Source organism: Homo sapiens, chromosome 6 (assembly GCF_000001405.40).
Source record: "Homo sapiens chromosome 6, GRCh38.p14 Primary Assembly".
Taxonomy (NCBI): domain Eukaryota; kingdom Metazoa; phylum Chordata; class Mammalia; order Primates; family Hominidae; genus Homo; species Homo sapiens.
Genome location: NC_000006.12, coordinates 24179074 through 24194200, shown reverse-complemented (window position 1 = coordinate 24194200; position 15127 = coordinate 24179074). Strand labels below are relative to the sequence as shown.

Below are 15127 nucleotides of genomic sequence, written 5' to 3'. Positions count from 1 at the left end.
AGCAGCCATTTGCCACACCCCTCCTCACCACAGTTCCTGTTTCATACAGTTACCTGATTTGAACTAGTTTAGCTATTTCTCATGGAGTACTGCTATATTCCTAATCCCCTCTCCCATTTTAATACATCTGAGGTGCTTGGTTCTTACAAGTGATGGCATCTCATAGTTTAATTTAAAATTATTTTAAAAATGATTTTAATTAAACTTTAATTTAAAAAATTCTTTTATTTTAGATGACATAAAAGAATGGAGATCCCTTTCATTGGGTGGTATCTCAAATTTGATAAAATAAATTTTGATTTTGTTTTGATTTATTAACATTCTGGATTTATCTTGCTTTGTATTTATCTTGATTTATTAACTTTTTATGTAATTACTATGGAAGATGATTATTTAGATTTTTTCCCAAACTCGTTCCCCCTATCAAAAATAGGGCCACATACATACAAACACATACAGATACCTTTCCCTTTCTTTTTTCTTTCCACTATAATTTTGTAATACTTTTGGTTAATATCTATACATTATTTCTACTATGTAAATGTTATTCTTAGTTGAACCATTTAGGTGTACTCTAGTTACATTTCCTTTCTTGGGTAACCCTTTTTCCCTGTTGCCTAGGTTAATAATTACCTATTTTTTCACTTGCTTTGTTTTATATGTACCTGTTACTAAGCCATCTCCAAACTCTGCAAGAACTTACTGTCCTCTTGATACATTCACATACATTCAGTGATACTGAAATCTTCATTTTATTTTTTTCTCAATCCCTCCAGTCAGCTGCCTCAAGCTGGTAAGTTGTTCTCTAGATCTGCTTTTCAGAGTTATCCTGGTATTTTTCTTCACCATTATTTTGAGAATTTCCTTTGCTTCCTTGGTGGATGGTTCTCTTCTTTTTTTGGATTCTATGTCTTCCTCTATCTTGGTTACACCTTCAATTTTTGTGGAACTCACCTCTAGTTGCCTTCAGAGAAAAGCTTCATGGGAGACACATTTTTCTGAGACTTTGCATGTCTGAAAATATCTTTTTTTTTTCTCTAATCAAACTTGACTGTAAGTATGGTGAAGTATACAATTCTAGGTTTGATATAATTTCTCTCAGAATTGTGAGGGGATTCTTCAATTTTCCTTTCCATTCAGAATGGTAGTTGAGAAGTTTGGCATTCTGTTTCTTTAAATGTAACCCTTTTTCCTTTCTCTGAAGGCTTTTAGACTATTTTCTTTGTTCCTGGTGTTCTGGAAATTTCCAATTATGTGTCTTGGTATGGGCCTTTTTGCTTATTGGACTGGATACTCAATGGGCTTTTTAATTCTTAAAATATGTGCTTTCAGTTTTGGAAAAAAATTGTTTCTTTGATAATTTTCTTCTCTTCCTTTCCCTACTGTTTCCAGAAGTCCAGGTATTTGAATATAGGACCTCCCCAAGTGATTATCTAATTGTCTCTCCTACTTTTCATCTCTGTGGATTTTTAACTTTCTCACTGAAAAAAAATAAAAGCCTCAACTTTTATCTTCCTTTGATTATTTCCTAGTCATTTTATTTTTAACATCTAAGAGCTCTTTCACATTCTCTGAATGTTCCTTTTTTAGCATCCTGTTCTTGTTTTATAAATGTGATATCTTCCCTCTTCTCTGAGGATTGATGTTCTATTATTTTACACTTTCCTTTCCTGCACTATGTTTTTTTCTTCTGAGGTTCTTTTTTGTTTTCTTTGTCTCTATGTTTTGATCTCTGTATCCATGTCAGAGTCGTTTCTTGGCTGTCTGGTTAGATTTGAGAGTGAGGTATTAAGGACACACTGTGTGCATAGGTAGGGGAGGTGTCCTGTAGGGTGATTCGTTTTGGCCATTTCATTGGCAGGCCTCCTCCAAGTTTCAGTATCTGTAAGTATTGCTCTTTTGGGGTCTATATCCTTTGAGAGGAATCTTTCAGTCTTTTGCCTTGTTGATAAGAACCTAGCTGTCAACATTTTGGGATCTGACTGTGAGAAAGAGGCATGGATCAAGAGATTTATTCTCTGTTTCAGTATAGTCCCCTTGTTCTGAGCTATACTTGAGTCGTTTCCCTAAGGTTCAACATCTCCAGATAATAAACCTCCCATATTTCTCAAGGGAGGTGATCTCAGGGGATCTATTTGCTTCTTTTAAAGACTCTGAGCCAATCTACCTATTTTTAGCCACAGTTATCTATCCCCCTTATTTCAGAGGCAGATGGTGCCTCCATCCCCAAGCCTTCTTTAGGTTTTTAAGCACGCAAAGGCTTGCTTCTTGGCTTCCCTTTCTGCAGTCTCACATTTTAGCTTCCTCAGGTCTGCTGTCATCCATCCATTTGCCCCACATCCATTTGCTTTACTCTCCCAAATTTTGTGGTTGATATTCCCTTTCCACTCTTCTGTGTCCTTATGGGTTCATCATTTTAAAGTTGTCTTAACTGATGCTTCAGAGGAGCATCAGAAGGGAGCTAAGAAAAAACTCCCATTTATTCAATCTGCTGTGTTCAACCAGAAACCACTTTCATAATGATCCATCAGAGCTGTTTTCCTAGAATCCGCAATAGGGATGGTAGCCTGTGGGCAGATTTTCTATGAGGGAATCTTCTTTGGCTGGCACCGGGCTAACAACATCTGTATCTCTTTAGCAGGCCATGTGTTCTTCAGACTTCCACAGGCTGTAGCACTCCCTATGCCTATCATCTGTTTTCAATTATAAATTTATGTTTTTTGACCTGTCCCTGGGATCATTTGAACTTGTGACCATTGGTCTACACATACATAATATAATGTGATTTTAAAGAAACTGCAGCTTAGAGGCTGTAACCAGAAATAGGTTTAAAAACCAAATATGCCTGTTGCCCTAGTTTTATTCTCCATGTTCTGACTTGGTCTCATCATTGACTCTACCCCCAACTAATGGAGAATTAGCAGCTACCTGCAGCTCCTCTTGTGAAAGTTAAGTAAGATGAAGAACTTCTTGTCTTGCTTTTCCATATACGATAAAATATGCGGAAAGATAAAGGAGGCTGTTTTCTGTGACAGGTTCCCCAAATCGACTTCAATGAAATGCATTTACTAAACAATTATAAAATATTTAGAACCAGAAGGGAACCTGACCTAAGCTTCTTATTTTGCCATTGAAGAAACAAAACCCCACAGTGGAGAAAGCCATTTTCCCTCAGAGACATGATCCGTTGGTAGTAGAATTAGCACAGCGGTCCTGTCTTCCAGTTTGGTCCTCTCCCTGTACATCTTAAAGAAGAGAAGTGAGAAGATGAGGGGCTTCTAATTAGCCCATAAATGGCAACATATTCTGAGGGCCACTCAACCTTCACTGCTGTCTCTGAACTAAAAGGGATTATGTGTAAATGGTATATTTATCATTATTTTCAAGTCATATACTCTTATTGAATCATATTCACATTAGGCATTAACAAACATTGCTCATGGCTGGAAGGGTTAGAATGAGAATGATCAGAGTTCTTAATTTATCTATGCATTGTCAGTAAGGCTTTTTGTGGCGTCACGTTTGTAGACTTGTATTTAAATGATAGAAATGGTGTTAAACATTAAAATGTAGCCATCAGGGATTTCTGATATAAATGAAAGAAAATCAACATTTACTTCTAACTTGAGAAAATTTAATGGGGAACTTTTTTCTTTTTTTAAATATATTTTTATTATACTTTAAGTTCTAGGGTACATGTGCACAACGTGCAGGTTTGTTACATACGTATACATGTGCCATGTTGGTGTGCTGCACCCATTAACTCATCATTTACATTAGGTATATCTCCTAATGCTATCCCTCCCCCTCTCCCCCAACCCCACAAGGACGAAAAACCAAACATCGCATGTTCTCACTCATAGGTGGGAATTGAACAATGAGAATTTTTTTTATTGATGATTAAATATATTCATGCCATCTAAGTATGTTTTCAGTTTATCATATATTCTCATTTGGGTGTCACAGGAACTGGTGGGGCTTAAAGGGACCCGGGTGAGACAGCTTCCAGGTGACTGGCCACAGCTTCACTCTTCTTCTGTACTTACAGGGTCATGTCTCTGAATATAACCACCCTTTTTGTAGGTCTTTGTGGCTTCAAATCATATCTAAACCTTTTTTTTTTTTTTCGGTGAAAGTAAGCCTCTGAAAGCTGAAAGCAAGAAGTGGTACTTTGCCATCATAAAAAATTGAAACTGATTATTTCAAAACACCTCATTCAACTTGGATAGGAGATGATTTTAGTTTCCATGGGAACAGAAATAATAAAAACAAGTACGATAACTTCTGTATTTTCAACATCTATGCCTGAATGCTGCCATAAAATCCACAGAAATATCTTCTACCCCAAAACCTGTAACAAATCCACACACTTTCCCAAATTTGAAACTTCATAAATGTTACATGGAAAAAATGGACATCTAAGGTAGTCTTTTTCATTTTTATTGATCTCCAGTTTCTAGGTCTAGGTTATTTTAGGGAGAGAGAACTAATGGGTGGCAATGAGGAGGAGGGTTGGGTGGTGAGACAGGATATCTTCACTAAAAAATTCTAATTTGTGCTGTTATTTATGATAGTATATGCCTTAAACATTAAAATAATATCCCTCAGGAATTCTGATGTAAATATAAGAAATATCACATTTACTGCTAAAGTGGGCTGGACATGAGCTGTGGTCTCTCTTTAGATGGCTTTCCCCGTTTTTAATTTTTGTTGCTGCTGTTACTGTCAGAGGTGTGATATGAGTTTAAAGTGTAAGTCATTTGGGCAGCCCCATCTGCCTGTGGAAATACCTTCCAAGTAATTGATGCTTTCAGTATTTTGTGGCTTATTTCCATATAATTTTCATATTCCATCTTCTTTCCCCTTACCACTCAGGAATCCTGAGTTAACCTTAGTAACTGCATGCATATTCTCTAGAAAACCTGAATACTTAACGATTTCCCCTGAGCCCCATCCCTGCTAGGATGTAGCCAGAGGAAACAACTACCAGACCTTTTCTGTCTTCCCATACAAATCAACCATTTTCTCAGAATGTCAGTTACAAAATAAATAGCAAGATACACATGGAGGCAAACTCAGGCAAAATACACTCAAAATGCCAACGCTGGTGTCGAGGAGAAAAGCTGGTACAGCTTTTCTAATAATAAATATTACGAGCAATTACTTATAATTAATAATGTGTTTTTTAAAGGTAGAAGTCCTGTCTTATAAAAACCTCTCTGTTTAAGGGTACATATTGTCTGTAATCGTACATATATTTTTAATATGTGTAACATGCCCGTTAATCTAGTTGCATTCTGGATGCGTGCCAGAGAGGCTGTGAGGCTGGAATCATCTAGGTTTAAATGACTTCTGCGATCATTGTTTATACTATTATGTACATCAGTTTAATGGGGATTTAAGATAGAGTATAATGAATACCCTTTTTTGCCTCCGGCGAAACAGAAGAATTGTGCTTTATAAAGAGTATAGCATTCCACAATTACTCATAGGCATGAGCTAGTCCTGAAATTTCAAGATGTATGTACTCCTTAGAGAAACAATTTCTATCTGAAAACAGGTTCTCTTAAAAATTTTCATCACAAAATTGACTGAAAATTGACGTAAATGTCAGGGAGATGAAGACTTTGAGCATAAAATATAAAAATATAAAATATAAAAAAACCTTTCTGATTTATTGCTTTTGCAGTGATGGGTTTATTTTTATGACATTGACTCTTAAACAGTGGCATGGTGATGTAATTAGAATAAATCTTGTAGAACTGTCTTTATGGCCAGAAATCATTTTGTCAACAGTCAGTCCTTCCATTGTCTTCCAACTTTCAGTAAATTGGTAACTTTTAAGATAAAAACACCACCTTCATTTAAAGAGGCATGATTTCAGGGCACTATTACAGTGAGAACTGTTAACCCAAAATGATTTTTTAAGTGGCATATTCATGAGCATATTGCATTATATGTGATTTACAGCCCTACTGTGCACAGTGTCATTTGGGGACCAGCATTGTCAGCATCACAGGAGCTGAGAGAGATGCAGAGGCTCTGAACTCATGACTCACACTTTGCATTTGACAAGGTCCCCAGGTGACAGTGAGGCACTGGTCTTGGAGCCACTAGGCTGGAAGTAACTCTTGAACATACATTGAATTTAACATAAATATGTCTTTGCTCTGTACTTTATCTTAGGAAAATAGTTATTACAATCCAATGGTCAAAGAATTCAAATCCTTTTGTCACTACTTGGAGAATTTTGGACAAGTTTACCTAATTCCCTGTGCTTCAGTTTCCTTATCTGCAAATTAGGATCATCATCGTGTTTTTCTTAAATAATTGTTGTGAGGTTAGTGTAAATATGATTATGCATATGACGTGCTTAGGCCATAGCACTGGGTACCTGGCAAGCTCTGGATAAGTGTGAGCCTTATCATCAGTGCCTTCCTGAAGGCACATATGAGGCTGACTTTTATCTGTGGGAGGCACATTTGTGTCTTATTTAAGACGAATATCCAGAGTCAGTGGTGTTGGGAACAAAGATGAATAACAAAAAGCCCTTACTTCAAGAAACTTCCAGAAGACCTCCATAGTGCCAGGGCTGATATTTCCCCGTTATTCTATAATCATTCCAAATATTTTGGGGGTATCTACTCAATAGCAATTTATGTTCACTATTTTTTTTGCACATAAATAGAGAATAACTGCACAGTGTGGTTAGAATGTACTAGAGGTATCTTAGCAAGTATTAGGAGGGCACAGGTGAGGAGTGACGGCCACCTGAGGGAGCAGGAAGGCTTTCTGGAGAAGGTGGTTCTACCCATGGGGAAGGAAGGGCATCCTGGATGAAGGTATAAGGAACAGCATGAGTAATAGGATGGCACCGCCCGTGGCCCAGGGCTCTTTTCAGTTTCTTCCACAGAGGACTCTCCCCACTCCAAACTTATGTCTGGGAAGGTCTGGGTTTGGCCTTCTTTCCCTGCCACATCCAGCCATCCCTCTTTCCATTGTTGAGGAACCCAACTTCCCTATTTTTTTAAGGAAATAGAGGAGGGATGGGAGAGTGAGGGTGTTGGGAAGGGAGGTGAAAGAGTATTAGTATGAGCATGTGTGGGGCTGGGGAGGGAAGGTATTAGTATATTAGTTTGCTAGGGCTGCCATAACAAAACACTGCAGACTAGGGGACTTAAACAGCAGACATTTATTTTCTCACAGCTCTGGAGGCCCAAAGTCTGAGATCAAGGTGTTGGCAGGGTTGGTTTGTTCTCAGGCTTCTCTTGGCTTGACATGAGTCAGATTGGATTAGGGCCACCCTCATGACCTAATTTTAACTTAAATTGCCTCCAAATACAGTCACTTTATGAGGTACTGGGGTTAAGACTTCGACATAATAATTGTGAGGGAGGGTACAGTTCAGCCCCCAAAAGTGAGAAGATGGGGTTTGTCTCTAATTTGATGCTGCTTAACAGATGGATAATATTCAGGGAGTAGAGTCAGCTTTTCAAGTTTGAGTCCGTAAGAAACATGATCAGTGATGAGTAGAGCGGGGAGAAAAGCAGAGACATGGCTCCCAGCTCAGCCCAGCAGCCCCTCTGCCTCATTATCCATTGGTTATAGATTAGAGGTTGGCCTTAGCCACGTGCCTTGTTACCATGGCGACCAGTTTTTCAGCTACTGAGGGGACCACTGTTCTTCAATAAGAAGTGTGTGTGTGCGCACATGCACGCATGTGCACGCAGGTATGTGTGTTTGTGATGCTGATGAAAGATATTTTCATCTACTGGCCATGTAACCTTTGGCAACTTGCTTTATGTCTCTGGCTCAATTTCCCATTCTATACAATGGAAATAATAATCACATCTGCCCACAGGTTGGGAAGATAAAATGAGAAACTGCATGTGAAAGTGCTCTAAGAAGCACAATATGCTACCTAAATGTTTGGCATTACATATTACATCCATAACTGGCTACTGCCAACCTGTCATTCCAATGGAAGATAGAGTCATTTGTTGCTTAAGCGCGTATACTAATTTATGGAAATTATCCTTGTTTAGTATGTCTTGTTTGTACATTCGTATTACTTCTGCAAGTATTAATAGCTAGCAGTTTGGAAACAACAAAAAGCTATTGGATGGTAAATGTGTTGTGAAAAATGGATGCCAAAGAACTTGGAAGCAAAGAATAAACATAACTGAGAGTGAGGATGATTAGTCCATATGAATCAGACCCAACAGTCTTAATGGACTACAAGTTCCCAGGGCTGGTGATAGCTCTGAGTTTGTGTGAGTGGTACCAGATTCCTCTTCAGTAGTTTTGCTACAGCACAGTGAGAGAGGAGTGAAGGGGATGGAGGAAGGGTGCAACTTGTTCCTCCTTTGCCTCTTGTATTTCTTTTTTATCCTAAAGAATAGTTACATAGAGGGAGTGCCCTTTTCCTTCTTTGCAGACTGTCACCATGGTATAGATTTTATCTGTGTGTATATGTGTGTGTGTGTGTGTGTGTGTGTGTGTGTGTGTGTGTATGTGTATGGATGGGTGTAAAACCCGGTGTTCCTTCTGGGGATGATTTGATTGATGTGTACACTGGAAACATCTTTAATAATTTAATGTCTGCTTCAAAGGAGATTACACCAAAAAGCACATTGCTTTTCATTTATTCATTACAGATCTGTCATAGCAGCATTTTTATTTTTTTGCCCTGAATTGTAGTGTCGTTGTAATAATAAATTTTGTTCCAGACTCAGGATATTTTAAAGGTTTATAAGCCTTTTAACTAATGTTACCGTCTTATTTAAATTGATCAAATTGGCATTTCAACACGATAATCTTGCATTTCTTAAAGTTGAACTAACCAGATGTGGCTTCATTTGATGACTACTAAAATAGCTGTGCCGGGAAAGTCTAATAGAAATAATGGGATGAAAGCATAATACTGCTTGTTAGTACTGGTGGTAATAATGACTATGAGACAGGGCCTGAATTTAGGGCCAGTTGTCTTCTTTCCTAGAAAGAAATTAGGGTATATACCAGCCGTTTGCATTAAAAGGAGAAAAAAATGTATAAGTGTTTGGGAATTCTGGATAAAGAAAGAGGTAAGGCTGAGAAATACAAAACTAAATACTAATATGTTATTATTTTGCCATTTTTAGGTATAAATCCAGATGTCAGAAGAGGAAAATAGACATTTTCTTATTTAGGTGTGATTGTCTTAACATACTTCAGCAAGCACTGGTAATATGTTCTCAGAGAGGCGAGGACCATATCCAGAATCCTAAAAAGTTACAGTAAATTATGAGTTTTTTGTTATTTTATTAAATGCTACACAACTTCTCTTTAAAACTAAAACAAAGTTGTTCTGAATAATAGGGCAAGTTTAGGCACAGTAAGGATCAAAACCATTTCTAGGAGAGTGATGTATAATTATCCAATTTTCAGAGGTAATTTAAAAAGAAATCTGTTCCTATTGGCCATTAGTACTGCAGTATTTCGGGAGTTTTGTTATATACTGCTTCAGGTACTCTGCTAGACAATTCTTATAATAATGTTTCTTTCCTAGATCACACCAAAAGTCAGTGATAGAAATTCCCAAAATATTTTGTTTTCAGGTCAGTAATTCTTTTTTTTTTATTTTTATTTTTTGAGACAGAGTCTCTCTCTGTGGCCCAGGCTGGAGTGCAGTGGTGCAATCTCAGCTCACTGCAACCTCCATCTCCTGGGTTCAAGCAATTCTGCCTCAGCCTCCTGAGTGGCTGGGATTACAGATATGCACCACCAAGCCCGGCTAATTTTTTGTATTTTAGTAGAGACGGGGTTTCATCATGTTGTCCCCAGGGTGGTCTTGAACTCCCGAGCTCAGTTAATCCTCCTGCCTCAGCCTCCAAAGTGCTAGGATTACAAGCGTGAGCCACCATGCCCAGCCTCAGGTCAGTAATTCTTTAAACAGTAAAAGTAATGTTGCCTACTGCAGATCTCATATGTTCTGGCCATTGAAAGTACACGTGAGTGTCCTTATTGTAGCGACTTGTTTGGTTATTAATTTAAGGAAAGATACTAGGACTTTGGGACAAGACTGCCTTTTGTTTACACCCTAGCCCTACTTGGTCACTTGCCCTGTGATGTGGGAAGTGTGATGCGATTTCTCATTTACTCTCTTTGTCTAATGGGTATAAGAAACAACTCATAGGGCTATTGTGAGAGTTGCATGAAATGCTGCGTGTGATGTTTGGCACAGAGCGGTGCTCAGCCTTTGCACTTCCATTTGCCCCGCCTTTCTCACCTGTCACTACCTGCAAACACTGTAGACACAGAGTTGTAGAAGTCTCTATGGCCAAACAACCCACTCCTTTCCCGACACATGCCCTTAACTGCTTCTCGCCTCATTCCACATTGTAATGTGATTTGTTTACGCATCTTTCCTGCCTATTGTGCTCTGCTCTGCGCTCTTTGATCTCGGAGACAGTGGTATTTATCTCCGAATGCCGGGAACTCTCAGTACTGCTTAACACAGATGGGTGCCCTTGGCCCAATCACTGAAGTCATAAGGCGTGAGAGTCCCTTATGTGTCTCTCAGGGTCCCACAATGACCATGTATGTTATTCTGCAGAGTCCATGGAAGGAAACTTGTCTCTGGGCCAAGGGTCCACAGGGCTTTTCCTGGCTTCTTCTGACTTGTTCGTGGGGAACCATCCGCCATGTTTTCTCTGAGCTGGTTTATTATACCTTCTTCCCCCTTGGAAGTCCCCTCTCTGCCTTAGTGTCTTGGTAAAGGAAAACTCTCGACTTCCTGGTGTGGGCTCCTTTCCTGAACTCCCTAGAAATCCTTGCTCTTCAGCGATGCAGAATGTAATCTTTGGCTCAGTACATTTCCTCTGCTCCATTTTATTTCTTTTTGTGGTAATATACTCATAATGGCATATTTACCATCTTAACCAGTTTTAAGTGTACATACAGTTCAGTGGTATGAAACACATTCATAATGTTGTGTAACCACCACCACCAACCAGGTCCAAACCTCTTTTCGTCTTGCAAAACTGAAACTCCATACCCATTAAACAAGAACTCCCCATTTCGCCCTCCCTCAACCTGGCAATCAGCATTCTACTCTCTGCTCTATGATTCTGACTACATACCTCACATGTAGAATCATACAGTATTTGTCTTTTTGTGTGACTGGCTTATTTCACTTAGCATAATATCTCTGTTTCATGCATTTTGCATCAGAATTTTCTTTCTTTGTAAGGCTGAATGATACTCCATTGTATGGATATACTGCATTTTGATTATCCACTCATCTTTTGATGAACACTTGGGTTGCTTCCACATTTTAAGCTATTGTGAATAATTCTCCTATAAACTTGGGTGTACAAATATCTCTTCAAGTCCTTGCTTTCAGTTCTTTTGGGTATTTACCCAGAGGGTGGAGTTGCTAGATCATATGGTAATTCTATTTTGAACTTTTTGAGGAATGACCATACTGTTTTTCAGGTGGCTGTAGCATTTTGCATCCCCCAAAATGCCCAGGAGTTCCAGTTTCTCCACATCCTTGTCAACGCTTGTTTTCTTCTGTTTTTTTTTTTTTTTCTTGTCATCATAATGGGTGTTAGGTAGTATCTTATTGCAGTTTTAATTTGTATTTCCCTAATTATTAGTAAGTTGACAATCTTTTCATGTGATTATTGGCCATTTGTATATCTTCTTTGCAGAAATGTCTATTCAAGTACTTCGCACATTTTTGAATGAGACTTTTTGTTGTTGAGTTTTAGGTGTTCCCTATATATTCTAGATATCAAGCCTTTATCAGATAAATGATTTGCAAATATTGCCTCCCATTCTATGGGTTGCCTTTTTACTCTGTTGGTATTGTCTTTTGATGTACAAAATTTTAAAATTTTTATGAAGTCCCATTTATGTATTTTTTTGTTGCCTGTGTCTTTAGTGTCATATGTAAGAAATTACCACCAAGTCCAATGCCAAAAAGCTTTTGCCTTATGTTTTCCTCTAAGAGTTATATAGTTTTAGGTTTTACATTTAGGTCTTTCATTCATTTGAAGCTATTTTTTGTACATATGTTAGGTAAGGATACAACTTCATTCTTTTGCATGTAGATATCCAATTTTCCCAGCACAATTTGTTGAAAGACTGTCCTTTCCCTACTGAATGGTGTTGGCACCCTTATCAGAACCATTTGACCGTATATGTGAAGGTTTATTTCTGGACTCTCTGTTCTATTCCATTGGTCTATATATCTGTCTTAATTCCAGGACCACTCTGGTTTTGGTTATTGTAGCTTTGCAGTAAGCTTTGAAATAAAGAAGTGGGAATTCTCCATCTTTGTCCTTTTTCAAAGTTGTTTTGGCCACTCAGGGTCCCTTGAGATTCCATATGACTTATAGGATGGGTTTTTCTATTTCCGTAAAAAACAACAGGGATTGCATTGAATCTGTAGATCACTTTGGATAATATTGACCTCTTAATGATATTAAGTATTCTAATACATTAACATGGGACATATTTCCATTTATTTATGTCTTTTAAATTTTCTTTTGGCAATGTTTTGTATTTTTCATTGCACAAGTCTTTCACCTCACTGGCTAACTCCTAAGTGTTTTATTCCTTTTGATGCTATTGTAAATGAAATTGTTTCTGTAATCTCCTTCCAGATTGTTCATTGTTAGTGTATAGAAATGCAACTCATTTTCATGTGTGATGTATTCTCCTCCGTTCTGTTTTTATAATGACAACACCCATCTTTCCCTTGCCAAGCCCTCCTCTCCTTATCACCTCAAGTGTCTGTATCTCAGTGCCTTACTTAGCTTGTTCTCTTTGAGGAGAGGGTGAGATGGGTCTGGTGGGGCAGATTGGAAATGTTATTCTCTTTGTTAGAGATTGGAGACTTTTCTCACTTTCAGTCATTTAGGTCACATACATTAAACACCAGAAACTTCTTACCAAGCATTGTGAGTTATGTTCATAAATCTTTTGCCTTTTAGCACCAGCTGGCAGATCCATTCCCCTCTGGACCTGAGTTTCTGTCCATCATTCTGCCTTTGTGAGGGACCCACCCTGACGACATGCTGAGGGATAGTTAGGACTCTCCGCTATTTGACCTTAAGCATCCGAATAAAATTTGAACAGCCTAGGCTCACGGTGTCTTTTAATCTGCATAATGACAAACATTGTGGTTTTTTCAGTATCTAAGAACAACTAGTTTTTTCCTTCATTTAAAAAATACACATTTGGTATCATGTAATTAAATCTGAGACTTTATTTTTGACAGAAGATAAGAATTATTACTAGTTCCAACTCTTTCTTCTTAAAAATAATGTGTGGAATTTTTTTCTGAACTTTTAGTCTTGTCCCCTTCATTTCCTTCCTTACTTCCAAAACTGAAAGCATTATGTTAACTTTTGTAATGACAAAAAGTTTGGTCAGTTGTTTGGTCAGTTAGAAGAGATGGGCTTCTAGAGTTGGAAAGGGGGGTCAGGGCTAACTGGGTTCCAAACTCTCATTTTACAGGGAAGGAGAATTAAGTGACCTGTCCAATGTCAGGTAGCTAGAAAGAGGCAATAATGAGATCTTAACACCAAATAAATCATTCTACCCTATCATTAAAAAAAACCCTGGGCCGGGCATGGTGGCTCATGCCTGTAATCCCAGCACTTTGGGAGGCTGAGGCAGGTGGATCACAAGGTCAGGAGATCGAGACCATCCTGGCTAACATGGTGAAACCCCGTCTCCACTAAAAAACACACAAAAAATTTAGCCGGGCGTGGTGGCGGGCGCCTGTAGTCCCAGCTACTCGGGGGGCTGAGGCAGGAGAATGGCATGAACCGGGGAAGCGGGGCTTGCAGTGAGCAGAGATCGCACCACTGCACTCCAGCCAGGGCGACAGAGCAAGACTCTGTCTCAAAAAAAACCAAAAAACAACAAAAAAACCGTGTTATTTTATTGATAGCATTGAAGAAATATGGTGGCTCCAGGAGAGAATGTATTGTAACAAATGGGAAGGGATTTCCATGTTTTTTAGGATCTGTGATGTGCCAGAAACTATGACACTTTATATAACTTTTCTTTAATCTTCATGGAAGTTTTGTTACGTTCCCATTTTACAAATGGGGAATCTGAAACTCACCAAAGTTAGGTAACAGCCAGTAAGTGCCTGGTCAGGACTTGAACCTGGGTTTTTCTCCAAAGTCTTGGCTCTGAAAGCTGGCCTCCTGTTCCCTCCCCCACCCCTTGTTTTTTTTTTTTTTTTTTGAGATGGAGTCTTGCTCTGTCGCCCAGGCTGGAGTACAGTAGCACTATCTGGGCTCACTGCAAGCTCTGCCTCCCGGGTTCATGCAATTCTCCTGCCTCAGCCTCCTGAGTAGCTGGGACCACAGGTGCCCACCACCACGCCTGGCTAATTTTTTGTATTTTTAGTAGAGATGGGGTTTCACCGTGTTAGCCAGGATGGTCTCAATCTCCTGACCTCGTGATCTGCCCGCCTCGGCCTCCCAAAGTGCTGGGATTACAGGCATAAGCCACCGTGCCTGGCCTCCTGTTCCCTCTTGAAGCAGATTTATGTGTATCAAAATAACAGTAGAACAGTGAAATGCTTGATTAAGGTTTATGAAATACTTTAGTATTTATTCTTTTTTTTTTTTTTTTTTTTTTTTTTTTTGAGATGGTGTCTTGCTCTGTCACCCAGGCTGGAGTGCAGTGGCGCGATCTCGGCTCACTGCAAGCTCTGCCTCCTGGGTTCACGCCATTCTCCTGCCTCAGCCTCCCGAGTAGCTGGGACTACAGGTGTGCACCACCATGCCCAGCTAATTTTTTTGTATTTTTAGTAGAGATGGGGTTTCACCATGTTAGCCAGGATGGTCTCGATCTCCTGACCTCATGATCTGCCCGCCTCGGCCTCCCAAAGTGCTAGGATTACAAGTGTGACCACTGTGCCTGGCCCTCAGCATTTATTATTCTTACAGAGAGGACATATAGTTTCTTGACCTTAGATCTGCAGGAAAATCAGTTATTGTGTTTAGAGAGAAGCTGTCAGCTTCCTTAGGCATTGTGGGGAAAGCTGTCTACATTCCACGTCAGAAAACATGAATTCACAGCCTGGTGCCATTGCCCTCATCCTTAGCCTTGAGGATGA

At 39.1% G+C, this 15127-nt stretch overlaps 1 protein-coding gene across 2 annotated transcripts in view; it reads left to right on the top strand.

Annotated features, from left to right (window-relative positions):
• DCDC2 (doublecortin domain containing 2) overlaps positions 1-15127 on the top strand; it is a 211538-nt gene that overhangs the window by 189092 nt on the left and 7319 nt on the right. The window lies entirely within an intron of this gene.